Source organism: Homo sapiens, chromosome 20 (genome assembly GCF_000001405.40).
Source record: "Homo sapiens chromosome 20, GRCh38.p14 Primary Assembly".
NCBI classification, from domain to species: domain Eukaryota; kingdom Metazoa; phylum Chordata; class Mammalia; order Primates; family Hominidae; genus Homo; species Homo sapiens.
This window is the reverse complement of record NC_000020.11, coordinates 9,475,415-9,501,547: the sequence shown is the minus strand read 5'-3', so window position 1 is coordinate 9,501,547 and position 26,133 is coordinate 9,475,415. Positions and strand designations below refer to the sequence as shown.

Below are 26,133 nucleotides of genomic sequence, written 5' to 3'. Positions count from 1 at the left end.
TGCCAGCATGGGCATGAAGTGGAAATACATTGTAATCATTATGTTCTAAAAGTATCCCTACGTTACCAAAGGCTGAGGTCTGTTGCAGAAACACTTATGGGTATTTATCAGACACTGTTCTAAGCTCTGTTATAAACAGATCAACAAGACACACACCATTTTTCTTGCCCTTGGACCTTTGTCCTCATTGTTCCTTCTACCTTGAATGCTCTTCCCACATCCTTACTCTCCTCCATATCCCTAGGACTCCTCACTTGCCTTACTCAGGTATGTCTTCAAATGGGACCCTCTCAGTGAAGCCTTTCTTGGACATCCTGTTTCAAATGATACCCTCTCTCCACCCATCCTTCGTCCAGGCTTTGTTTTTCTCCTTATAACGTATCACTTTCTTAACAGCTTGCATTTCATCAAATTTAAGGTTCCACATTATTGTAAACCACACCATTATTTTATGTACTATTACAAAAGCAAAACACGCTGCCAGTTAAACCATGGCATGCCATCGATCAGGACACATTCAGAGTTAGAACTAATGAAACACATTCATTTACATTATTAGTTGTCTGGTCCTTTTTATTAGAATAAAGATCTCAATCTTTTTTTAAAAAAAGTTCTTATTCTCCAGTGCCTTAAAACATAATAGGCATTTCAAATGTTAAATGTGGGAGGATAAAATCCATGTCTTCAGGAGTGAGATCAAGTAAACAGTTATGAAACAATATAATAAATACTCAAGTAGAAGACGGTAGGAATTTTTCTCTGCATGCAGAGAAGAGCGTGTCTCCCTCAGCCTGGCTGGGAAGAGCCTCTCAGGGGAGGTGTTGACCAAGCTGGTCTAGAAGTGTGTGGGAGGCAGATCCACTGCAGGGGAGGATTTTCAAGCATCAAAGTCCAGGGATACAAAAGAGTATGAAAAACCAGGAAAACTGGAGGCTATTCTGTCTGACCGAAATGTGTGTTGTGTCTAAAGCAGTGATTCTTAACCTTGAACAAGTATCAGAATTGCCTGCAGGGCTTGTTGAAGCACATTGTTGGGCTCCTTCCCCAGAGATTCTGATTCCATAGGACTGTAGTGCAGCAAGAGAACTTGCATTTCTAATAGGTTCCCAGGTGACTCTGATACTGCAGGTCCAAGGACCACACTTTAGGAACTGCTGGCCTGGGGGAAGGCTGGAGGAGGGAATCAGTCATCTCAGCTCGAGTGCTGCTGTACACTCAGCCTTGGTGCATATGCTCAGATGAGGCATAGAGACCACGAGGGAAGGAGGGCAGTAAAGGGCTTTTCACTTCCTCATTATCATGTGCAATAAATAGAGTGCAGGAATTTTTTCTATAGCTTTCTAAGTCTGGGGAAAGCAAACACTTTTCCTTGTGTCCAAGATGTCCCCTTGTTTTTTAAGACTGAAAGAGAACAAATACACTAACTTTTGTCTACACCAGACTCCTTTAAAGAGCAATGTCTCCATTGTATCCCAACTCTTAGATTACTGTTTCCATGAGGAAACTGAGGCCTGGAAGATTAAGTGCTGGGATACAACTCCCCTACTCCCAGCTTTTATATCCCCATTAGTAAAAGGGAAAATAGGGCCTAGAACTCACTGTGCTGCTGCCAAGACTCTCCCTGCCCCTGTCTGCTCCTCAGCATCCACAGTGTCACTACCACCATCTGGAAACTATCCAGACTATTCTCCTGTGTCCTTTATCCCTACCCTGTCAGGGACCTCCATGAGCCCAGGCCCTCAGCTCCTCCTTATACAGCTCTGAAACCCCCCATAAGAATGTCATCTCCCACCCCACTTATCTTCTGGAACTCATGAACAGTCATCAGCAAAATTCCTGAAATCTGCAACTTCTTCTCTGCAAATACCCCTCCCTTGCTTGCTCTAACTCAGATCAGGATATTCTATGAAGGGACACTGCTTTCCGTGCAGCCCTTTCAAGAGGGAGCTGTAAACTCCCAAACTTTAGTGCCACTGTGTCTGAAGGGTGTGTGTCTCCTTTAATCTTCATTGTTGTTCTCCCAGACTACTGTCTTATTTTTCCCCCCAAGACAGCCCCTTCTCTCTCAGCTTCATATCTGATGTTATCGGACTGTAACTCCACTACTCTTTCTCATGCAACCATGTACTGTTACTCCCATCCCAACAATGAGTGACGCCTCATTCTCTGAATATGTTAGCTATCGACTCAAGATCACTCTCTGTAATGTTCCTCCTCCTCTTCCTCCTCTTGGTGGTTTCACTATCCATAGCTGTGGCTTTCTAATCTCACCAATTCCAGTCCCTCAAGCTCCTCCCTACTAATGGTCTTCTCTTAAATTCTACCTCAGCCATTTAAACCATGATCCAATTACCTTCCAGTCACCGATTCATTTCTCTGCTTCTTTTCATAGCATGGCTCTTTGAAATGACTGTCTACAAGCACTATCTCCATGTTTTCTTCCCATTCTCTTGAGCCCACTTCAACTGGGACCCACCCAAGTTGGTCTTGTTGAGGTGTGATGGTCTTTGATGTGTCAACTTGGTTAGGAAATTTTATTCAAACAGTAATTTAGGTGCTGCTGTGAAGATATTTTGCAGCTGTTATTAAAGTCTATTATCAATTGACTTTAAGCAAGGGAGATATTTTAGATAAACTGGTGGACCTCATCCAATCAGCTGAAGTTCTTAAGAGCAGAGCTGAGGATTCTCTGGAGAAAAAAACAATCTGCCTGTGAACAGAAGCCTGAGAGTCCCAGCCTGTCCTTCCTAATGCCTATGGAATTTGGACTTATCCACTTATTCCCCCATAATCACATAAGCCAGTTCCATGCAGTAAATCTCTTAACAGGTATCTTCTACTGGTTTTGCTTCTCCATGGGTTCAACCTAAACTGATACATGAGGTTTTTCAGGTTTCCAAGATGCCAAATTTAATGATAAATTCTCAGGTCGTACTTGACTTAGCCAAATTTGACAGTTGATTATTTCTTTATCAAGGCCCTTTGCTCATTGGCTTCCAGAACAGTTCACTCTCTTGCATTTCTCATGAGTCACTGGTTTCCTCACAGTTTCCTTGGCGACTCTTCCTCGCTTGTGATTACTTTTTTTTTTTTTTTTTTTTTTTTTTGAGACAGGGCTTTCTCTGTTACCCAAGCTGGAGTGCAATGGTGCAATTACAGCTCACTGCAGCCTTCACCTCACAGGCTCAAGTGATCCTCCCATCTCAGCCTCCCAAGTAGCGGGGAGTACAGGCATGTGCCACCACACCTGGCTAGTAGTTTTTTGTTTTGTTTTATTTTTGTAGATACAGGGTCTTCCTATGTTGGCCAGACTGATCTCAAACTCCTGGGCTCAAGCGATCCTCCCACCTTGGCTTCCCAAAGTGCTAGGATTACAGTTGTGAGCCACCATGCCTGGCTTGTGCTAACTCTTAAGATGGAAATGCTAATCCTCAAACATCTTCTTGTCTCTTCCTACTGTTCCATCTGGCTGAATCTGCAGCTAGAGTTGCCTCAAAAGTGGTGGCAGGAGAGTTCCCACTAGGGACTGCTTCAGAGTGTTCTGAGATGGGGCCAGTGGGGATTCCAAAGAAGCGCTAAACACCAGGTTGATTGTCCAACGAGTTTCTTAGATGAATTTATATAGACAGGGTGCTGCAGCTTCCTTGTGAGGGACAGTGATACAGGAGATGTTTTACCCAGGTATGTCTCCAGTGAAGGGGTTGGGTTATGAAGTTTATCTGGAAGTTTAAGGAATTTGGCTCAGAGCAGGGGCTAGTTTCTATGTGTTTAACAACATGTTTGACCTTTTAGAGTTTTGGGCAACAATGCAAACAAGTTTACCAGTGCGTGGAAATGTTGAAGGCCCCAGCTTGAATTTAAGGCTTCAGGGATTAAACATGAAGCTGGCCAGGTCACAGGACAGTCAGAATACAGAAAAAAAAGTGGGAGGATCTGGAAGATTATATGCTCTACACTCACTCAGTTGACTGTATCATTCAGTTTTGTTTCTTTAAACAAAATGCATATGTTCATGATCTCAAATGTTTGCCAAATGCCTACTCAACATCTATACTGGGTTATATAAAGCCGTTTATAACTAAACATGTCCACAATGGGGTTTTTTCTTTTTAGAGACAGGGTCTTGCTCTGACACTCAGGCTGGAGTGCAGACACATGGTCATAGCTCATTGTAACCTTGAGCTACTGGGCTTAGGCAATCCTCACAAATATCTGGGTCTACAGACACACACCACCACAACCAGTTAAATGCAACCTTAAAAATAATTTACAGACAGGGTCTCACTGTGTTACCCAGACTGGTCTCGAAACTCCTAGGCTCAAGAGATCCTCCTTCCTCAGCCTCCCAGAGCACTGGGATTACAGGTGTGAGCTGCTGTGCCCAGCCTTAATGGTTAATTTTATCTGTCAGCTTGGGTAGGTTATGGTGCTCAGAGGTTTGGTCAAACACTAGGTTCGATATTGCTGTGAAGGTATGAGATATGATTAATATTTAAATCAGTAGCCTTTGAATAAAGTAGATTACCCTCCGTAGTATGGGTTGGCCTTATCCAATCAATTGAAAACTGTAAGAGAAAAGATTGAGGTCCTCTGAGAAAGTGGGGAATCTTCTCCAGGCTGCCTTCAGACTCAAGCTGTAAAGTCAACTCTTCCCTGGGTCTCCAGCCTACTGCTTTCCTGCCGATTTTGAAATTGCCAGCCTCCATAACTGTGTGAGCCAGTTTCTTAAAATAAACCTCTCTCTTTCTCTTTCCACATTCTATTGGTTCTGTTTCTCCAGAATTCTGGCTAATACAAAGTTCAAAACCAAACTCCTAATGCCTCACCCTTGCAAAAAAAACCCTGCTCCTTGTCAAACTACTCCATTAAAGTTAGCTACCGCTAACTATAATGGACCTACGGGGACATGGAGAATGAGTGTCTTGCCAGGCTGAAGAAGCCTCAGTCTCTGAGCCCACAGGATGGCCAACCAGCCCTGGAACAATGATCCCAGATTCTTCGAAGGAAATAGAATGCTAACATGTTTAAGCTACAGTTAGAAGGTGTTTTTCATCTTTCACAGCCACTTAATCCTTACTGCTGGGCATTTCTATTGGAGGAGCAGCAAGAGCAAAGGGCTCTTTTAGAGACACGGTCTTGCTCTGTCACCCAGGCTGGAGTGCAGTTGCGTGGTCATAGCTCATTGTAACCTTGAACTGCTGGGCTTAAGCAATCCTCCCAAGTAGCTGGGAGTTACTCAAACCAAAACTTTCTAGACCAACACTGACTCCTCCCATTCCATCATAGCCCACATCCCATCCAATCTATCAGCAAATCCTGGCATCTCTCCCTTCAAACTAGACACATGATCTGACCACTCCTCACCATCTTCATTGCCCTCTCCCTGGTCTATGCCACTACTCTCTGTCATCTAGATAAGTACCTCCTAATCAGCCTCTGCTTCTGCCATGGTGCTGCCATGGCCAGTTCTGCACATGGGATCAAGAGTGATTCTACAGTGTAGGTAAGGCTTTGTCATGCCTTCCTCGAAACTCTGTAATTGTTTCCCATTTCATCCAGATGGAAAAGCCAGGCCTACCAGGCTTTACATGATTTGGCCACCCTTGCCTCTTCTGCAATCACTCAGCCCCTTGGCTCTGCTCCCATTCTGGATGCTCTCCAGCCCCTGGCCCTTTGCTCTTGCTGTTCCCTCCACTGCAGATGCCCAGCAGTAAGGATTAAGTGGCTGTGAAAGATGAAAAACACCTTCTAACTGTAGCTTAAACACGTTAGCAGTCTATTTCCTTCAAAGAAACATCCTGGGATCATTGTTCCAGGGCTAGTTGGCCATCATGTGGGCTCAGAGACTGAGGCTTCTTCGGCGTGGCAAGACATTCATTCTCCATGTCCCCGTAGGTCCAACCAGCATAGAAGAGCACAGGGCACAGGAGGAAGAGGTTAATGGAGAGGCCACTGCTGTATTCTAAGGAAGGTTCGCCAACACTTCCACTGGACACTTCTCCTGACGTTCCATTGCTCAGAATGGAATCATATGGTCATATGTTCATACCTGGCTTCAAGGGAGCCTAGGAAATGTAGTATTTACTCTGGGAAGCCATGAACCTAGCTGAGATCCAGTTCTATTCTGGAAGATGATGGGTGGAAGGATATTGTGGGGAACACTAGTACTTGCTATCTCAGCACCTTTTGGAATGACAAAGATGCACAGTGTGACTGGGGTAGATTGATATGAAACTAGATTGGAGAGGCAGGTAGGTATGGAAGGTTATTTCCAAAATGGCTGCCCAAAATCTCTCCCATTCTTGTATATTAATATCCTTCTTCCAATCAAGAGGTGGACCTATCTTCCCTCCCCTTTGAGTCTGTGAGTCTGGGCTGACCTTATGACTTAATTTGACCAATGGCATAGACCAATGGAATATCATGGCCTAGGCTTTAAGAATTGATTCTGGCAGTTTCCTTTGTTGCTCTCTTGAGATTCAGCGTCCAGGTAAAGAAACTTGAACTTGACCACTAAATGTGGAGAGATATGTGGAGAGGGAGCGAGCAGCCCAGGCAGACATCCCAACTGGGGCACCAGATGTGTCAGGAAAACCATGTTGGACATTTCAGCCCCAGCTGGGTTCCCAACCAAGCACAGCCATACAAGCGACCCCAGTCAATACCAAGTGGAGCAGAAGAACTAGCCAGCTGAGGTCAGCCAACCTAGAGCACCATGAGAAATAATGAATTGTTGTTGCTTCAAGCACTCAGTTTTGGGATAGTTTGTTATGCAACAATAGATAACTGGAATAAAGGGCAGAATCACATGAAGGTTTATAGGCTTAGGAAAGGAGTTTGGCCTTTATTTTTAGTGGAGAGGGAAGTATTATGGGATTTTAAGCAGATGACCTGCACAATCAGTCTGATTTATACTTTAAGAAGATCACTCTTCTACTGCGTGCAGAGAGGATTGCACGAGCTCAAGAGTGGATGCAAATGAAACCAGGAAGCTGTTAGAGTGGTCAAAGCAAGAGATGACATTGGTTACAACCAGGGTGGTTATCTCAGTAGTGTTGAGAAGTGATTCCATTTCAGAAATATGCTGGAGGAGGAGCTGATAATACTTATCGATTATACCAAAGGGACAAGAGAAAGCCATTAATCGAAGATAATCCTGAGAGTTTTAACCTGAGGCTGGGAAGGAGCAGGCAAGAAACCCAGGAATTCTAATTTGAATAACTTAAGTTTGAAATGCCCATTAAATTTCCAACGGCAGCTTTGAGTATTTGAGCATCAACAGGGAGGTCATTGCTGGATGTATAAACCTGAGACTCTGATTACCAAGGATCCTTCTTGCCTCTTGAAAGTTGGGTGTGTTGCTTTATCCTTGCTCTTAGAGTGGGGTCCATTTTCTCATACAAATGCAAAATATCACTGAACCCAAATATTAGACTTTTACATTAAGAAGAAAATTTAGAAAGGCACACTGTCTTTGAGACAGAGTCTCATGATTTTCTTGGCACCCGGCATGCATATCTGCTAGACTTGGGATGATTAATGGACAAGATTGTTTGTGACCCACTTATGGGCTGTTTCTTCCATTATAAAGCCTTTGAAATCTGGAAAGCTGGCTGGATTCAGTTTCAACTGGAAATGCACCATCCTTTTTTTTGTTGTTAATCATTAAACAAAGCCCACAATGCAGTCATATCTTTAGAGGTTTTATTGTTACTAAAATATAGCACACATTACGGTATTTGTGTCTTTCATGTTTTCTGTCCTAATGGCTAGAATATCTAAGATGGGAAATAATAATGCAGAGCTGGTTAGTTCTCACTGACTTTGATAGTTAATTTTGATAATTCAAGAGTACCTTATTTTAGATTATTCGGGACTTTTGTTGTTTCTATTTCTTGCGAATAACGTCCATACCGGAGGATAGCCAGAGAAAAAGAAAAGAGGAAGCAAATAACTCTTAATATTTTTTCCTTATCAAATAATCCACTAAGAAAATTTCAGGATGTGTCTTTTTGCATAACATTGAGGAGTCTGCCATCTAACAGGAAAGTTAAGGCACATATATGAACATCGGGCACACTCCAGCAGCTGGAAGTATCATTTTTTTAAACAAAGTAAGTCTACTTTGAATGTTCTCTCCCAATGCTGCTAACTCTCCAAAGTTGAAGGGGAGCCCACTGCAGTAGACACTTTTGGTGCCCCACTCATATTCCCTTGTCTCCTCAACCTCCCATAGCTTTAGTACTATCTCATTCATGCCTAAGACTTCCTGCCTCTGGCACATGCAGCTCTCTCCCTGAGGGCTTCTCTGGCTCCAGGAGCTTGCTTGGCCCATGAGGGGCTGGCTGGAGCTAGCTACTAGGGAGTCACTACCCTCAAGAAAAACTCCCATCCAAAGAGAAGGGAATGCTGATGGATAAATACCCCTTGTCTCCACCCTGGTGGGACAATTCTGAGGTGTGTGCTACACCATCCTGCCGAATATCTAGGGGGATTGTGCCCATCGCCCACAGAGGTAACATTCTCCGTAATTATTCCTTTATTGTTTTACTTCCATCCCCCAAACCCTCATTCTATTTCCTGGGATCACCTCCAGATAAAATACTTGCACTCAAATTTTTGTCCGAGGCTCTACTTTTTGCAGAACACACACTGTGACATCCCGCACCATTTGTCTTCTTCTTCAGAACCACACAATCACACTACGGCTTTTAAACACCTGGGGAGTGGGGGAGGTGCCCACTCCTCAGTCCCAGAGGTCACTGTAGCCATTGTCTCCTGTCCAACCCAGCAAGGGCAAGCGTGCCGGGCCCAAGGAAGCCTTCATTCTTGGCAGCTCTCTTTGTCTGCAAAGGTTCCAAAAGCAGCAGAAACCAAGGCTTGGAATCAGTCAGGCAGCAGAACCATCTAAGGTTCTGCCACTTCCTGGCCCTGGACTTCAGAAACCCTGTGTCTTTGAGGGCTCCAAGGAGACTTTGTTGCTTCTCCTCCCCGAAAGCTAGAGTTGGGTTCCTGCCACTCTGCCTCTGCACCCCCATCCCTCCCCTCTTCTCTACTCTAGGGTAAATGGGCTAGACTGAAGGCTGGCAAACTTTCCTTGCAAAGGGCCAGAGAGCAAACATTTTAGACGTTGCAGGTCATATGGTCTTTGTTAGAAATCTTTGACCCTGTTGTCATAACGCAAATGCAACTAGAGGTCATATTTAAGTGGATGAGCATGTCAGTGTTCCAGTACAATTTTTTTATGGACACTGAAATTTGAATTTCATATAATTTTTATGAATCACCAAATATTTTTCTTTTAACATTTTTCCAACCACAGAAACATAAAACCCATTCTTATCTCATGAGCCATATAAAAACGGGTGAGAGACCAGATTTGGCCAGTGGAATATATAGTTTCCTGACTCGTAGACTAGACTTTCAAAAGCAAAGTTCTGTTTAGATTTTATTACCCTGCTGAACTCCCTTTTTGATTGGCATTCTTTAAACCAAATCTAATTAATATTGGGAATGCATGGGATTTATCAAATCCTGAGGTATTATCAACAAATAAATCCTTCTAGTGCAGGGATCATGTTTCTTTGCATTTTCCTCACAGCACCTTGTATGATGGTATCCATAAATTAATTTATAACAGCACCAAAAGCAGGGAGTTTATTATTTGTTCATTTATTTTATTTTATTTTATTTTGAGACCGAGTTTCACTCTGTCACCCAAGCTGGAGTGCAATAGCATGATCTTGGCTCACTGCAACCTCCGCTTCCAGGGGTCAAGCGATTCTCCTGCCTCAGCCTCCTGAGTAGCTAGGATTACAGTCGCCCACCACCATGAGCTGCTAATTTTTTTTTTTTTTTTTTTTAAGTAGAGACGGGGTTTCACCATGTTGGTCAGGCTGTATTATTTGTTCTTTACTGTGCTAAGTGCTGTACTGAGGGGCTCACTCACTCATTTCCTCATTTGAAGCAGAAATGATAAAAACTGTACTAATAGGTTGCCATGACAATGAAATGACATTGTGCCTTTGACAAATGCTCTTTGTTCATTGTAAACTGTCAGGTGGTTTTGTGTTCATGGTTTTTAAGAATAGGATGTGATGATCTCTATGACAGTGTGGTGGTTCTACAGAGAACAGAAATTTGGACCCAGGAGAATAAATGGGTTCTGTTTTTTAATCTCCATGGTGTTGCTTTGTGACCTCAGATTCAACATTTGTACAATGGTGATAAGGTTCTCCATTTGCCTGTAACATGAAAATTAAATGAGAGAGCTCACTAAATGCTATAAACATGTTAGATTTAACTTTAACATTCGGAGTCTGTGCTATGAGTGTGTGTGTGTGTGCGCGTGTGTGTGTGTGTGTGTGTGTGTGCGTGCATGTGGTGTTTAGGCAGAAATCTAAGACGGCCCCCAATACTCTCATCTCCTTGTACATGTACTCTGAATAACCCCTTCCCATGAAGCATGGGCAGAACCGTGAATCTGATAAATTTAACTTCCTTGATTAGGTTGCATTACCTGAAATGGGGGAATTTTGCAGATGTAATTAATTTAGCAGATATAATAAGTCAAACCAGTTGACTTTGAGGTAATCAAAAGGGAGATTATCCTGGTAGGGGTGACCTAATCAAGTGGGTCCTTAAAAGGAACTGCTAGATCCTTCCTGAAAGAGGAATGCTAAAAGAGATTCTGCTGCTGGCTTTGAATGGGTAGGCTGTCATGTTGTAAAGAGGACCTATATATACGGCCTTGTGACAAGGAACTAGGCAGCTTCTAGGAGCTGAGAACTATCCTTGATCAACCAACAGCCAGCATGGGAGTGCGGATTTGAATCATATAACTGCGAATAACTGAATTCTGAAAATAACTACTTGAACCTGGAAGTGAATCCTGAGCCTCAGATGAGAACACAGCCTAGCTGACGCTTCACTTTAGTCCTGTGAGATTCTGAGCAGAGAATCCAGCCACACTGTGCCCAGACCTTTGACCTACAGAATTGTGAGATAGTAAGTGGGTTTGCAGTAACTCTGTGGTCATTTGTTATGCAGTAATAGAAGAGGAATACAATGTGAACTTGCAATCTACATGAGGTGATAAGAATAAGTGTGTAAAAGACAAAAGTCTAGAACTAATGGCTAACAGACGTGGTCTGGGTCATAAATTCTGCATTCCATTGTGAGTAGGGAAGAATTTGGAAGGGTGTCATGGGATGGAAGCATCATAGACAAAAGATTCCTGAGATCCATCTTTTCTCGTGAAAGGAAGAAAAGAAAGCATTTTGTTAGATAAGGTGGGACTGGAGCATGGGAAGTTTGTGCCTCCACATAGTTTGAGGTCATGAAGACAAAGACAAGCGAGTGTTTCAAGAATGGGGCAATGGTTGACTGTGTCAAACATTGCAGAGAGGTTTTGATGAGCATGTAGAAGAGACACATGGGATTTGGCTAGGTGAAGGTCATCCACATCTTAAGCAATGCCAATGGACATGATGGGAGTTTAACAGTGAGTTTACCTCCACATTTGTAATCCATTGATATTTGACAAGGATGCCAAGACAATTTGATTGAGAAAAAGTTTTTTCAACAGAGGCTCGGTAGATCTCTAGAACTTATGTAAAAACAAAAACAAAAACAAATGGTTCTGGGACAACTAGCTATCCATATACAAAAGAATGGCATTCACCCTTACAGTAGATATAAAAAGAATTCATAACGGATCAAAGACCTACATGTAAGAGATTAAACTATACAACTCTTAAAAGAAAGCAGGCATAAATCTCAGTGACCATGGATGAAGCAATGGTTTCTTAAATATGACACCAAGAGCACAAGCAACAAAAGAGAAAAATAGACAAATTGAACTTCATCAAAATTTAAATTTTTGTGTTTCAAAAGACACCATGAAGAAGGTGAAAAGGCAACCCACAGAATGAGAGAAAAATTTTGCAAATTATATATCTGAAAAAGGACTAGTATCTAAAATGTGTAAAGAACTCCTACAACTCAGTAATAAAAAGACAACACAATTTAAAATGAGCAAAGGTTCTGAGATATATATTTCTACAAAAAAAGATATACAACTTGCCAATAAGCACATGAAAAGATGCTTAATACCATTAAGGATCAGGGAAGTGAAAGTCGAAACCATAATAAGATACCAACGACACACACACTAGGATGACTATAATAAAAAAGGTAATAAGTATTGACAAAGATGTAGAGAACTCAGAATCTTCATACACTGCTGGTGGAAGTGTGAAATGACGCAGCCACTTTGGGAGACAGTCTGGCAGTTCTTCAAAGAGTTAAACGTAGAGTTACCATGTGACCCAGCAATTCTACTCCTAGGTATATACCCAAGAGAAAAGAAAACATACATCCACACAGAAACTTGTATGTGAATGTTCATAGCAACATTATTCATAATAGCCCCAAATCAGAAACAACCCAAATATCTATTAACTGATAAATGAATAAATAAAATGTATTATCTTCCTTTAAAGCTTGGTATACTGAAAAAGTTGGAATTTGTCTCTTCAGAGGTATCTAATGAATATTACTCTATTAAACATCTTATTGAAATGAACTTTGCTAACCAATTATTAAAAGTATATCAATCTAATACATTTTTCCAAATATTTAAAATCATACCTTTATATATCATGCAAAAATAATGACATGATATTATTTTAAAATTCCTAAAAGAGTTTCTATAGAGTATGTATTAAGATGAAGAGGAGTTCTCAGCTAAAAAGGTAAACACAGCCACAAATGATCTTCAAAATACCACTCTTTGAACACTTAGGATATGCCTGGAACTGTATGTATTAAATGATTCAAAAGCTAACTTGATTCTCACAGCAGCACCATGAGGTAGGTGGCATTACATCCATTCTACAGATGGAAAGCTCCAATTCTGCGGCATTAAGTAGGATGCCTGAAGTCCGCAGTTAGTGAATAGCGGAGTTAGGATCTAAGCTGTAGTCAGTGGGATCCCAAATTAGACTGTTAATTGCCACACTGACTTCTACAAGTAGAAAGTTTCATCTATCTCAGCTGATCCCAGTTGCACCCATTTCCATTTTGCTTTGCACTATCATTTAATGTTACTGCAGATCCCCTTGGGAGAATTTATGCCAAATTCATCATCTGGGTTCTCTTTAATCTGACAGCTGCCACCTTTCCTAAGTGGATATTTCTGCTATTTTTCTCGGGTGTGTCATTTCCTGTCCCTTGTGAGAGGCTCTCTCTTAAGTTACTCTTGTATTGTTTCAAATCATTTTCTGTTGCAGACTTGGAGAGTTGGCATGGAAAATGCTAGAAGGGAAGAATAAAGAGAGTCTATTCCACATCCAACTCTGCCTCCCTCACTCAGCACAGGCTTTTGAGAGGAGTAGAATAGTTTCCTTGTGGAGCAGCAAAGCCTGCTGAATTAATTTTATGCTCAAAACTCTTCTGAGTAATTATGCCTCTTCGATGGTTTCCACTAGGCAACAGGCTTCAGAAGTAAACTTTGTTATTTTGGCATCATCCCTATTGGTCTTCTGAATGTGTATATGTATTTTTGTATACTAAATTATATTTCATTCCCCCCATTCTCTTTATACCATGAACATATATCTATTGCTATATTTTTAAAACATGGGTTTAATTGAGAATTATACATGCAATGGAAGACACAAATCTTAGGTGTATTCCCTGATTCCCTGATCAATGTTTACCTGTATAAACACCCATGTAACCTCCACGCAGCGTAAGTTATAGACCAGCAGTTCTCAAAATCTTTGGCCTCAGGGATTCCTTAACACTCTTAATATTTTTAAAAAACTCAGAGTTTGTTTATGTGAATTATATCTGTAAGCATTACTATGTTAAAAATTTGAAACAGGAATTTCAAAATATTTCTCAATTCAATAAAAATAACAAAACTGTCACTTGTTAATATATAACCAATATTGTACTATTACAATAACTTTTTTGTGAAACATAACTGTATTTTCTAAAAGTTGGTGGGAGGAGTGGCATTGTTTTACATTGTTGCAAATGTCTTTAACGTATGGCTTTACAGAAGTCATCTGAGTTCTAATGTCTTTTTCTTCATTCGGTCTGTTGTGATATGTCATTTTCACTGCAGTATATGAAGAAATCTGGCCTCCCACAGAGACGGATTTGGAAACAAGAGGACTACACAGACCCTCTGACAGTCTCTTGGGGGACACAATGGCTTGCCAAGGGATCCTTGATACACACTTCGAGAACCACTTGCATAGACCATCACCATCATCCTGGAAGGTTTTTTCAGAGAGGACCACTACTCTGACTTCCTTCAAGATTAGCATTGCCTTTCCTTGATCTTCATGTATGTGGAATCATAAGGTAAGTACTTTCATGTGTTCTACCCTGTGAATATACTACATTTCATCAATGCATCCTCCTATTGGTACACATCTGATTTGTTTCTAGCTTTTTATTATTATGAATAAAGAACATGCTTTTTGATGAACACATACACAATACACTCATTTCTTTTTTTCTTTTTTCTTCTTCTTTTTTAAGATGGGGTCTCGTTACGTATTGCACGCTGGGGTGTGGTAGCTATTCTTGGGTGCGATCATAGAACACTACTTTGTACTCTGGGATTAAAGAGGAGGCATAGCCTTGAATTATATTGTCAGCCTCCCAAGTAGCTTGGACTGCAGGTGTGTATCACCATGTCTGGCTTACACTCATTACTCTTAGAGTGTAATTGCTGGGACATAAGATTGGCAGACGTTTAGCTTAATAGACTTCCAAGCCTTAGAAAATATTTTTACTTTGCTGAATTTTATTTCAGCATATATTATTTAGCATAATATACTTTTAAATTATTCGAAATATATTTAAATACATTCCTCTTATTAATACCTAATATATGCTCCTATATTTTTCTTTTAAGAATTTTGCTTTAAAATCAGTCTAACTACTCAATACCATATATTTCCATTGCTAGACTATTGCATTTAAAAAATCTGTGTCCCATATTTTATGCAATTGGACAAAGTAATGTGGTAAAGTAATTCCCCGTTTATCTGCAATTTTAGGACCCATAACTCAAACAGACCAGTCCGAAAGCAGCTACTTAATATTAGCATCCAAGACTGTGGCAGGAGGTCATTTGAGTGACCAGGGAGCCCAAAGGAAAAAGAGAGAAGGTTTAGAAGCAAACCAAAAAAATGAAAAGACAGGGAGGGGGAGGGAGAAAGTCAAAGAAGAAAGAAGAAGAAGGAGTAGGAGGAGGAGGAAGAAGAAGGAGGGGGAGGAGGATGAGGAGGAGGAGGTGTTTGTCAAATGACAAAGTTAGTTGAAATCATCAGCAGTCCAGCTTAGAGGAAGTGAACAGCAGACACTCAGAAGGTTACAAATAAAAAGAAACCTGAGACATCAAACATGAGGCTTAGCAGCTGGAATCACTCCCTGAGAAAACCATGTTCCGTGCCTGTAGGTGATTCCAGTGGCTTTTGAAAGCTGCAGTCTCTGGGACTTTGAAATGAGACTGTTTTATCATCTTCCTGTTCCCAGAGCTTGGCTGTATCAGTTAGTTATGGCCACATAACAAAAAATATCAAAACTCAGTGGCTCAAATCAACATCCATTTCCTATTTCTCATATGGTTATAGGTTGGCTGGGTGTTCCCACGGCTCTGGGAAAGGCATGGCTGATCTCAGCTGCAGGCTCACACATCTATTGTCAGCTGGTAAAATGAACGAGATAACTCCACTCTCTGCAAGTCGCGCATACCCGCCAGCAGGCCAGCCTTCTCATGTGCTCTCACGGCAGTGTCAGAGACTTAAAGTGAAGAAACAAAAATGTGCCTCCACTCGTGTCCAGTTTGCTGCTACAGCTTGAGTGTTCCTTATCCAAAATGCTTGGGACCAGAAGTGTTTCAGATTTCGGTTGTTTTTAGATTTTGGAATATCTGCATATACATAATAAGATATCTTGGGGATGGGATCCAAGTCCAAACACAAAATATATTTATGTGTCATTACACTGTATACACATAGCCTCAGGGTAATTTTATACACTGTTCTAAATAATTTTGTGCATAAAAAATTGGGGCCATTAATGCCACCCATCTACCTTATGAATATCGCCTAAAGCTAAAACTGTTGATAAGTTTTCAAAATAGAGTGCATTACTGGTAAAAAAACAAGTTGAAGGGCTGGATACGGTGGCTCATGCCTGTAATCCCAGTACTTTGGGAGGCCGAGGCAGGCAGATTGCCTGAGGTCAGGAGTTTGAGACCAGCCTGGTCAACATGGTGAAACCCCATCTCCACTAAAAATACAAAAATTAGCCAGGCATGGTGGTGCGTGCCTGTAATCCTAGCTACTCAGGAGGTTGAGGCAGGAGGATCACTTGAACCCAGGAGACGGAGGTTGCAGTGAGCCGACACAGTGCCACTGCACTCCAGCCTGGGCGACAGAGTCACTCTGTCTCAAAAAAAAAAAAAAGAAAAGAGAAAAAGTTGGAAGTGTGTAACAGTGAAACACTAAAAGAACATAACTGACCCCATTTTTGTTTAAGGGGCCTTTTCCTGTTCCTGCACATAGGCTAGGCTAATTTGGGCACACAGATAAAATACAAAAATAGCCATTTTGTATTTGTACTCTGGGATTAAAGAGAGAGTATGTAAGCAACTATGTTTTGTTAAAGATTTATAGGAACATTGTGACTTGGCTAAAGACAAAGACAAAGAAGTTTCCAACCTCCTCAGACCCTTGTTGGCACTCAAATGTCTGCAGTTGTCAGTCACCTCTTGATCCCAACTCCTCCTCTTCCCACCACCCTTAACATAAAGAGTCTGAAATGAGTACTGACCAAAGATGGTACTTTAGGACGCTAGTCCACCATCTTCTCAGTTTTCTGGCTCTTTGAACTAAAGTCACCTTCCTTGTTCCAACTCCTTGTCTCTCTACTTACTGGCTGTTGTGTGGTGAGCAGAATGAGTTGGAACTGGGTTACAAGGGTAGAGAGGTTAAGAGTGGTTTTCCAATAAATATTTAATCCATGAACAAATAAAGTTAGTTCAATGCTGAAGAAATGTCTAATATAACCATTTATATGGCTACTTGATGTAGTAGAAGTGAATTCATAATACAGGGGTACAGTCTGTAGGGTTCAATATGCTGTGCTGTAACAAATACCACACCCTAACAAAATACCAAGATTTGTCTAAGGAAAAACAAAAGATAGAAGTGTTAAAAGCTGCATGTGAATTTTGAGAAAATCCATGAATTGCTTGAAAAGGGTAAACAATTTTGATGGATCAGTATAACATTTCCTCATTCACATTATATGATATCAAAGTTCCGAAATGACAGATGGTCAAATCCTTTTTCTGTCTGTTTTGTTTTTGGTACATTCTGATTCATCTAAAGCTATTGAGTCCTGATGCAAGTGATTAGGTATACAATATTAAATTGGCCTTCCTTGGAAATTTTTCCTAATTTTATTGTGCTGGACACTCAAAAATTTCCAGGATGAAGTACTTCAGAAATTGCCCCTTACCCTGAACTTCCAAGAAGGTAATGCTAGGAGAGGAAAGGAGTGGAAAAGGCACAGCATCATTTATCACGATAAGTACAGTGTAGACACCAATTTTTTAATGTAAAAGCAATGATGCTGCTATTTTAACCATCTCCCTACTCCCCCCACCCGCCTAATATTTTTTCATTATTCTAACCTATGGAGCAGAACGTTTTCCACAAAATATTATTAAAGAAGATGGCTCATAAATATTCATCCCAGAGGTATCACCAGATTTATTATGATATTAAAGATGCAATTAAAATATGTGCTTGAGATTCCGTTCAACGTCAAGCATCAAAGAAGAGTTGTAGAAATGTGTGGCCTTCTGTTAGATTTGCACAAGTGATGAAGAAGGAGAAGCTAGAGTTTTGAACGAGGCGTCCCTAAGATAACCTCAGCAATAAAATAATAGGGGTATTCCTTCTTCACTCTCCATAATCTCTTAATGTTGATGGATCCACACTGTTAGATCCGTGATGGCCACTGTGATCATTGCACTGTTTTAAAAGTATGCTAACAATAAGTATTGAGAAAAATTATTTTTCTTGGAACTGAAAAGACACTTTGCAAAAAAGCTTCTTTTAGGTTTTCATTAAGTTTTCAAAGGCATTTCCTGCCCAAGAGTCTATACAGATGGTTATTTTACTTCATAGAAAATAACTTAGTAATTCGATATCTAGTGACTACCTCTTCTTTGAAGAGCAACTGAACAAAGCCTGAAAAGAAATTAGTCAGGACTGGTGGAAAAGTCTTATGCTTAAATAGCTTTTAAAGTATAAATGGATAAATGAAAAAGGGCAGGTTACTTCTTGCTTGGGAGAATGAGAGAACTTTTCAGAAATGGCATTTTTGGAAGTTGCTTTTCAAGACTTAATAGAACATTATTATGTAATGTGGCTAGAAAAGATGTGTACTATGTGTATGTGAACAGAGACTAGTGATAAATTCATATTGACTAAAATGAGTAGGCATGTTGGGGGCAGAAAATGAATGCTGTTATCACTAATTTCAACATTATTCTTTAGGCAGTAGACAGGAATTCTGCATTTACAAGCAGAATGGTAATATGATTGCAGGTGTCATTTGGGAAGATTAATCTCTGTGTAAAAGGGATTTGGAGGGCAAAGAAATTGAACAGCAAGTTTAAAATTCTGAACGTTGAGTTATAAGGAAGGAGAAGAAAGTTTCCAAGACAGGACAGAATTCATAAGTTTTATGAACAGATTGGGTGCTGGAGGAAATGAGATGGAGCAGAAAAAGATGGCCACAAGGTTTAGCACTGCTTATGGACTATTAAAATATGTGGGGAGGACAGATGGAGAAAGAGTCTCTATTTTTTTTAATTAATCACATACAATGTGCACATGGCCGCCTATTTAACTATTGACAATCTGAGAGGGAGAGTCAGAGCTTCGGGAAAGAAAGGTAAAGGCTAGAATTATAGATTCGAGAATTACATGCAAAGAAGTAGAAATCAAAGGCATGTGATTGAAAGAAACAGCTAAAGGAAACAAGATTCTTCAAATAAAGACGGTGAAAGATAGATTTCTTCCCCTTTTTGAATTGCTTTCCAGGAAGCTCATTGCTAAATTTGAAACTCAGTTGCAGAATGGTTCCTTTTTGGAACCATTTTTCAGTTCCACAAAACCAGTTTCAGTTTTGTGATAAAATGATTCTCTTGTGTCCTATCTTTAAAATTTCCTCTCCTCTTTAAGGCTTAGGGTTGAGGAGTTTGTATACTACTTTTGGAATACTACATATTTCATGGATTCCAAGATGTATGTATTTTTCACATTTTAACATCTCTGAAATTGGGATGTGCCTTGACAATCACCGGATAGGGTATTATAGTTTAATTGGCAGTGTGTTTCATTTTGTGTGGTATATAAAATAATAGTATAAGCTATAATCAATAATGCCTTCAATTTGATGAAAGATGGTACTTTCTGATGTGTTTCCCTATCTTGGTAACCTGGCTCTTTTTCCATGAAGCCTTTTATTCCCCCAAAATGTGAAGAGCAACCTACTTAGGAAAAGAGAAGTATAGTACTGTATGGGTATTCCATCAGTCAGGAATGGGAGTTGAGTATCTTTTCTGGGCTGAAAGAAAGAATAAAGGTAAGAATTGAGACTCAAGTGCCCTGGCTCCCAAATAAGAACAAAAAGTTCTGATGGTGGGAGAAGCAAGATGTTGTAGAAACCCAGATAGTCTTGGGGCAGTATAAAGCTTGCTTGCTTCTTGCTTTTTGGGGCATTGCTCTGGAACATTTCAAGCCTCCTGGATTTAGAAAACTCTGTGGTATTGAAACTACATGGCCCTAGTAGCTGACAAATGACCAAAGGAGTGTTTTGATGGATGGACCTGAGACAGCATCTTTGGTTCCTGCACAGCCCCCAAAGACCTGGAAGTTCTGCATATCCCAGAAGAATGCTGGAATAAACTGATACCAGAATGAGGACTTGGCTGAGCAGGGACTTTGAACCACTGGGGTGGGAAGGCCCACTTTGCAAAGCTGCAGTAGAGTGCAGTTAGGACCTGTCCAACAATGGGGAAACCAGATGCTCCTACCAATTGCCAGGTGGACACGTGAGCTTCCCTCATACCCAGATGCCATCTGGGGAAAAAAGCAAGATCTCCTGAATGGGGAGGGATCTCTAACAGGGGATTTGACTCTCAAGTAACTAAACATGTCCCTGAAAATGTTTTTTTTTTTTTAAAAAAAAAAAACAAAACTGGAAGACACTGAGTTACTTTAATTGGCTATTAATTTTTCTTCATAATAAGGGATAATGCAAGGTTTGAGTGCAATATGAACTGACAATAGCAGGTAACACATGCTTTTGTTGCACATTTGAGTTGTGTGTACATTTTAATCCTACTACAATGGATTAATGGTATGATGTCTCAAATACTAAAAGTAACCTGGATCAAAGAAAAACAAACTGGTTCCATGTATAACACTGGAAAATATAAATGCTTATGGTGGCCTAGGAGGATGAAAAGAGGGAAGAAATAAGAAAAATGGAAAAACTAGTAGTACCTCTCCAAAGCAGAAACAAGAGGAGGCAAGTGATGAATTCAGTCAAGTGTTACAGAATGGTGAGCATAGTTGAGCTCTTGGATTTGATTTGATTTGATGATGAGAAGCCACTCAGAATCTTTGAAAATTGGCAATCCAAATGTGGTGATATTTTATTAACCATAATTTTTCATGAGATGTTAGTGCCAAAAGATATGTAGTCTAACTCCACTGTTTTACAGATAAGGAAACTAAGAACAAGAGATATTTTACAGAATCCACTTCAAATCATAAATAGGAGAAAAACAAGTCTATTACAACTGAAGTCAACTAGAATCTGCATGTTTTGCATCATTTGGGTGAAAAACATGCTGAGGGTATTAATAAGCCCCCTTTGAAAATAACGATGATATCATGTATATGAAAAAGGCAAAACATTTGCTAGAATGTGTCTTGGGAGCAAATACTCTTGACGAGTGTTATGCGTGTTTTAATTTTTTATTAGAGAAGTTGGAAGTTTAATTTCAATATTGATGGTATCATCATTTTCTCCGCTTTGTTCAGAGGAACACACAGAATCAATTTTTACAAGCATATACAACAATTCATCTGGTGCTGTGCCCTAAAATCAGTAATCTGATTAGTTCTAGACTACCGGGTTTCCATGCGCTCCTCTTGGCTTTGGTGGCATGGCTCAATTCCCAGCGGAATACTTTTTCATGCACTGTCTGCAACTCAACTACAGCAGGCTTAAAGACCATGCAGATTAACACTGTAGCAAATTGTTTTGATATTTAACAGACATAAAAAGGTCATTTCCTGATATGAAATTCTGAAAATCTGCATAAATATTTTTGTGTAAAATTAAATTAGTTATGTATTTTTTTCAAACTAGAACTTGAAGTATCAAGAATGCCCACATAATTCATATACACATATATATATAGAGAGAGGGTTTTTCATTATGCTAAAAGTCTTGATAGTCAAATTATATTCTGTGCCATACATTTATTTAACCAGTATTTATTTGGCATTAGGTTAACTGTGTATGGATTAGTCTTTATTGGTGCTTGTGTATCATGCAAACATAGTTCTAGTATTCCTGTTTACTAATCTTGTCATGTGGCAATACTTAGATGATTTTGCTCTCTAACAGTGTGAATTAAAGAGTATAAATACTTTATACATGGTCACATTTACAAACGTTTGCCAATAACCACTTCACAATCTTTATGGTGTGAATTATAATATCCGGAATCTGCAGAAACAATTCCTATAAAGCAATGTCAGATGTAAACTTTCTTAAATGTGCCTAACACAGTTCTCCTTTGAGTAATGATGAGTTTTGGCACACATACACTGCTCTATTTTTCTATTGTTCTAACAATTTCCACAACTTTTACAGGAAATTAGCCTCTGATGGCATGGTAGAGACATGGCACTTACTGATGAGGTAACTTAGATGTAGAAAAATTTTGCAAAATTATTTGTCTAGCAGACCACCACTTCTGCTAATAAACTTGTAGACAGAGTTTTCTTTTCCTAGTGCATGCACTTGCTATGAAATTGCTAATGCACTGTTTTTTGTTTTTGTTTTTTGCTGCAGTTCAAACATGTCCTAAGGCATCACAAAGGAGAGTTGTTCACACCAAGCTCATTTACTTGTGATGGTATTTTATAGCAAACATGTTTAAGTTGTATTATCAATGGTTGGACTCTGCCTTACTGGAATAGTAAATTTTTGTGGATTTGTAGCTATTTTTGTTTGGCCAAGGAAATGCAATACTCAAGCTGTTAAATAGAAGTCAGTCAGACATTCCAAGTCTCTCTGGTTTCAGATATCATCTTGTTTACACATAAAGGAAACAAAATAAACAGCTTTCATCCATGGAGTTTGTGTTCAGAAGTTTGTGAGTGAGTCTTTTGATGCTTTGTGGGTTTGCTGCTTCAGTTTGCATTTTGGAGTTTCATACTACTGTTGCTGGTCTGCGGTCCATCTCGGCTTCCAATTTCACCATCTGCTGCATCTCCTTCGCCTATAACATCAGAAACATGGCCTTACGTGTGTTGAAATCCTTATCTGAAGGCACTTAACAACCCTGGCCTCTCTTCTCCCATAAATATGATCCTGTCACCACATCCTTGCTACTCAAAATATGGTCCATGTACAAGCAGCATCAGCATTGCCTGGGACCTTCTTAGAAACGTAGAATCTTGGAGTCTACCCCAGATCTATTGAATCAGTTAAAATCTTCATTTTAACAAGATCTCCAGGAAGTTTTTATACACATTAAATTTTGGGGACTGGTTTACACAGTGCCAGGAGAACCACTTGAGAAGAGGGTAGACCACTTGCTTTATCTTTAGACCATACCACAAACTGTTTGATTTAGTTTCTACAGATTGACACGTTGCTTTGACTGTGTGTAGATAATTTTATCACATTAGAATAAGTATTGCTTATGTACAACTTATTTCCTAAATAGCCTGAAATTTAGTTAAAAGTAATTCCCTAAAAATCTAATTGATAGAGAAGTTCAGGTGAGAGCATATTACATTGGATTGGCTGGAGTCTTCTGTAAATGGAATGTTACAGGAACATGCAGGCTTTCAGGAATCTTATTGTGCAAACTCTATCCCTGTGGGCTCTTACTTCTCTAGGGTACTTTTTATGGACTACCAGGAAGTAAGCAATGGTGAATTCAACCTCATGAGTTCAGATTGTCACTAAGAAAACCAGCTAATTCGAGAAGAGGAAAGGGGATATGATGGGGGCAGTGTCTGGTGAGAAATACTTGCTTGGAAACATAGGAAAAAATCAAATAGTACATTTCGACTTTTATTATCCAACTGGTAGCCTGGATGATTTTGCCCAACCAAATGCACGTATCTTTTGAGGAATGATGATTGCCCATTTCTTTTTTTTAGTGACATGCTGCTTTGAAATAAAGGACATTTGAAAATAGAAACATGGACCTATGAAGATATAAATCGGATGAAGATTCTGAAGTGCCCTGATGTTACTATTTATGTCTGCTTAGATATTCCAACTAAATGGAAGGTCACTGGGAGGGGATTTGGTCAACTCTGTAGATATATGAGAAGCATCTTCCAAATGAATTCTTGTGACAAAATTAATTTAACCCACAGACTATACTGTGATTTCCTTCTTCTTCTTACTTCTATATTTTGGCGTTAAGCTTCATTTTGGTGAGGATGGATATAATAACACCAAAGAATTAAATCTTTCTGTGTAAATTTGGGATGGTTGGTTCCCTCTGCCCAGATATTTTTTATGCCTAAAGTATAGTAATACTCTAATAGAGAAATGAAGAAATGGAGAAAAATATACAAACATGAAACTATGACACAAACAGTATTCAAAAGGGATGACAGTGAAACATTATCAGCACTGGAAATTAAATACTTCCAAGTTCGGTAAATAGTAGCAAATGATTCTCTGTGCTTGTCCCCCTTTAGCTTCTGAAGAAAGTATTGACCACGGTGTAGAAGGAAGAATCATAGGACATTACAAGACTATTCCAACAGCTAAGTTCTTATATGAGTTGGGTGACCATTCATTCTCATTTGTCTGAGGCAATTCCAGTTTATGCCTGTAGTCCTAGATATTATAAACAGAGCTGCCTTTCACTCTCAAAACTATCCTGGTATGGACAATAAATTATATGACCACCTTACTTATGAGGAGTGATTAGGGTCTTTGGCAGATGGGACTTAGCAGAGAGCATGACAAGAGTCATCGTGTAAGGTTTCTACATGCACAGCACAGCTCCATCATTAAAAACCACCAACCAACTTTCAGCGAGCGCTTTAAAAATTAATTGGAGTCATATTAACATTTGTGAGTGACCTGACTCTGTGACCCTGTCTTAGCTCTGGTCAGTCCAAATGACAGCTGCACATCACTGTTCTGGTTATGTCTTTATTACCATGATCTGTTTCCTAAATCTGCAATAGAAAATACAGGTTCAAATACCCTCAGAAGTAATTCTCTAAAGACTTAGGGCATTTTGGCATGAATATGACATCAGAAATCCAAGCATGGAATAGTCAAGCTTTTAAATCCAAACCCTTCAGATATTAGTTATGACCAGATGTGACTCATAAATGGAGACTGCACAGAGAATACGGACGTAGTCGAGAAGGAAAGCAACGTCTTGCTTATCAGAGTTTCGGTCCTACCTTGCGTTTGGGACACTGCATGACAGGATTTCAAAAGCTGTTTGTACAAAAATAGTAATGTCAAAATTGAGTCATACATACAAAACGAAGAAAATAAATGAATATTGAAGTGAATTTGAAAAATGAATGCAAAACCATATACAGAAAAGCAAAAAGCTAAGGATAAAACATGTACACACCCCTCAGTGACAAACTTTCCCCTAGTTGATCTCAACAGAAAAAAAAGAAACGAAACAAACAACCAACGCCTGTCATTCCCAGACTGTGCCTCTCTTCTGTGGCAGTAAGTGGAGAACCTGGCCTTTAAGCAAAACCTTTTACCTCTCTTTATTAAATGATAGGATTGATGATAAAAATCAATTTTTGAGACTCGAGTGTGTGACAGTAATGGAGTCGTTAATGTTTGAAATGGTACATGTCAAGACAGATGAGATATACTGTGTAGCTGGGAAGTCTATGAAAAAACTCAAGTAGGAAAAACATCCCCAACCTTCAGAGTGTTAAGTGAATAGTTGGCTGACCAAGTAGGCAAGGACATAAAGTGGCTTACAAATAACCTAGAAGGTGAGGATCCAGAATCAGGACCAAAACATACTGACGCCTGGTTTGTTTCTGCCAGTGCCCCCAACACTGGTTTAGCTAATGGACTGAATCCATTCCAGGCCTTGCTTTGGAAGGGGAGATTTGGGACACCGATTAGGAGTAGGGTCACAGGAGAACAGAAAGAAACCTTTGAGGGAAATACTATGGGAGAATGTTTACATTTATCTCTGGCTTAGAAAAAATGTCTTGGGATTTAACAATTATTTAGAAGATTGTTGTAGAAGTTTGCATTGTCTGGAGACAAAGAACTGTTCTTGCTGATGAAATGTTTACCTGGTTATGAAGGCAGTTATACTATATAGTTCCAGACCTTGCCTTTTTATGAGGAAAGAAATGAAGTCACTGTATCTTTTGCACTGTGCCCATGACAGTGTTGTACCATACAGAGTAACTGTGAATTGAGAGCTTTCTCACCCTTAAATGCCAAAAAATGTATACTAGAAAGATCTGGGATTGAATTTGCAATTGAACAGGCCATATTTCTAAAGCAAAGCTTAACACAGAAACTCAAGTCCAAATTCTTTGCTTGCCAGAAGCATCAGTATGATATCTTGAATGTCTTTTCCTTGAATCTCATTAAATCTTTATCAGGTCTCAAGCCTTTTCATGTTCTATGCTTTCCCAAGCTTTTGTGACTCAAAGTGTCAGTTGTGGGTGGTAGACCTTAAAAGACATATTTGAATTTCTGCAACAAAAAGCCAGCACCCTCCCAATACAATCTAATCAATACAGCTAT

At 39.8% G+C, this 26,133-nt stretch overlaps 1 protein-coding gene across 20 annotated transcripts in view; it reads right to left on the bottom strand.

The window, feature by feature from the left end:
• PLCB4 (phospholipase C beta 4) overlaps positions 20,740-26,133 on the bottom strand; it is a 412,131-nt gene continuing 406,737 nt past the window's right edge. For 17 of the 20 annotated variants that reach the window (XM_024451898.2, NM_001377134.2, XM_005260724.3 and 14 more), the window contains 2 exons: positions 24,795-24,831; positions 20,740-22,627 (listed from right to left, as the gene is read on the bottom strand). In XM_024451898.2, coding sequence (XP_024307666.1) covers positions 22,539-22,627; positions 24,795-24,831 — 126 coding nt within the window. In that variant the 3' untranslated portion in view covers positions 20,740-22,538. The remainder of the gene's footprint in view (positions 22,628-24,794; positions 24,832-26,133) is intronic. The other 3 variants (NM_182797.3, NM_001172646.2, NM_001377136.1) reach the window with 1 other exon arrangement.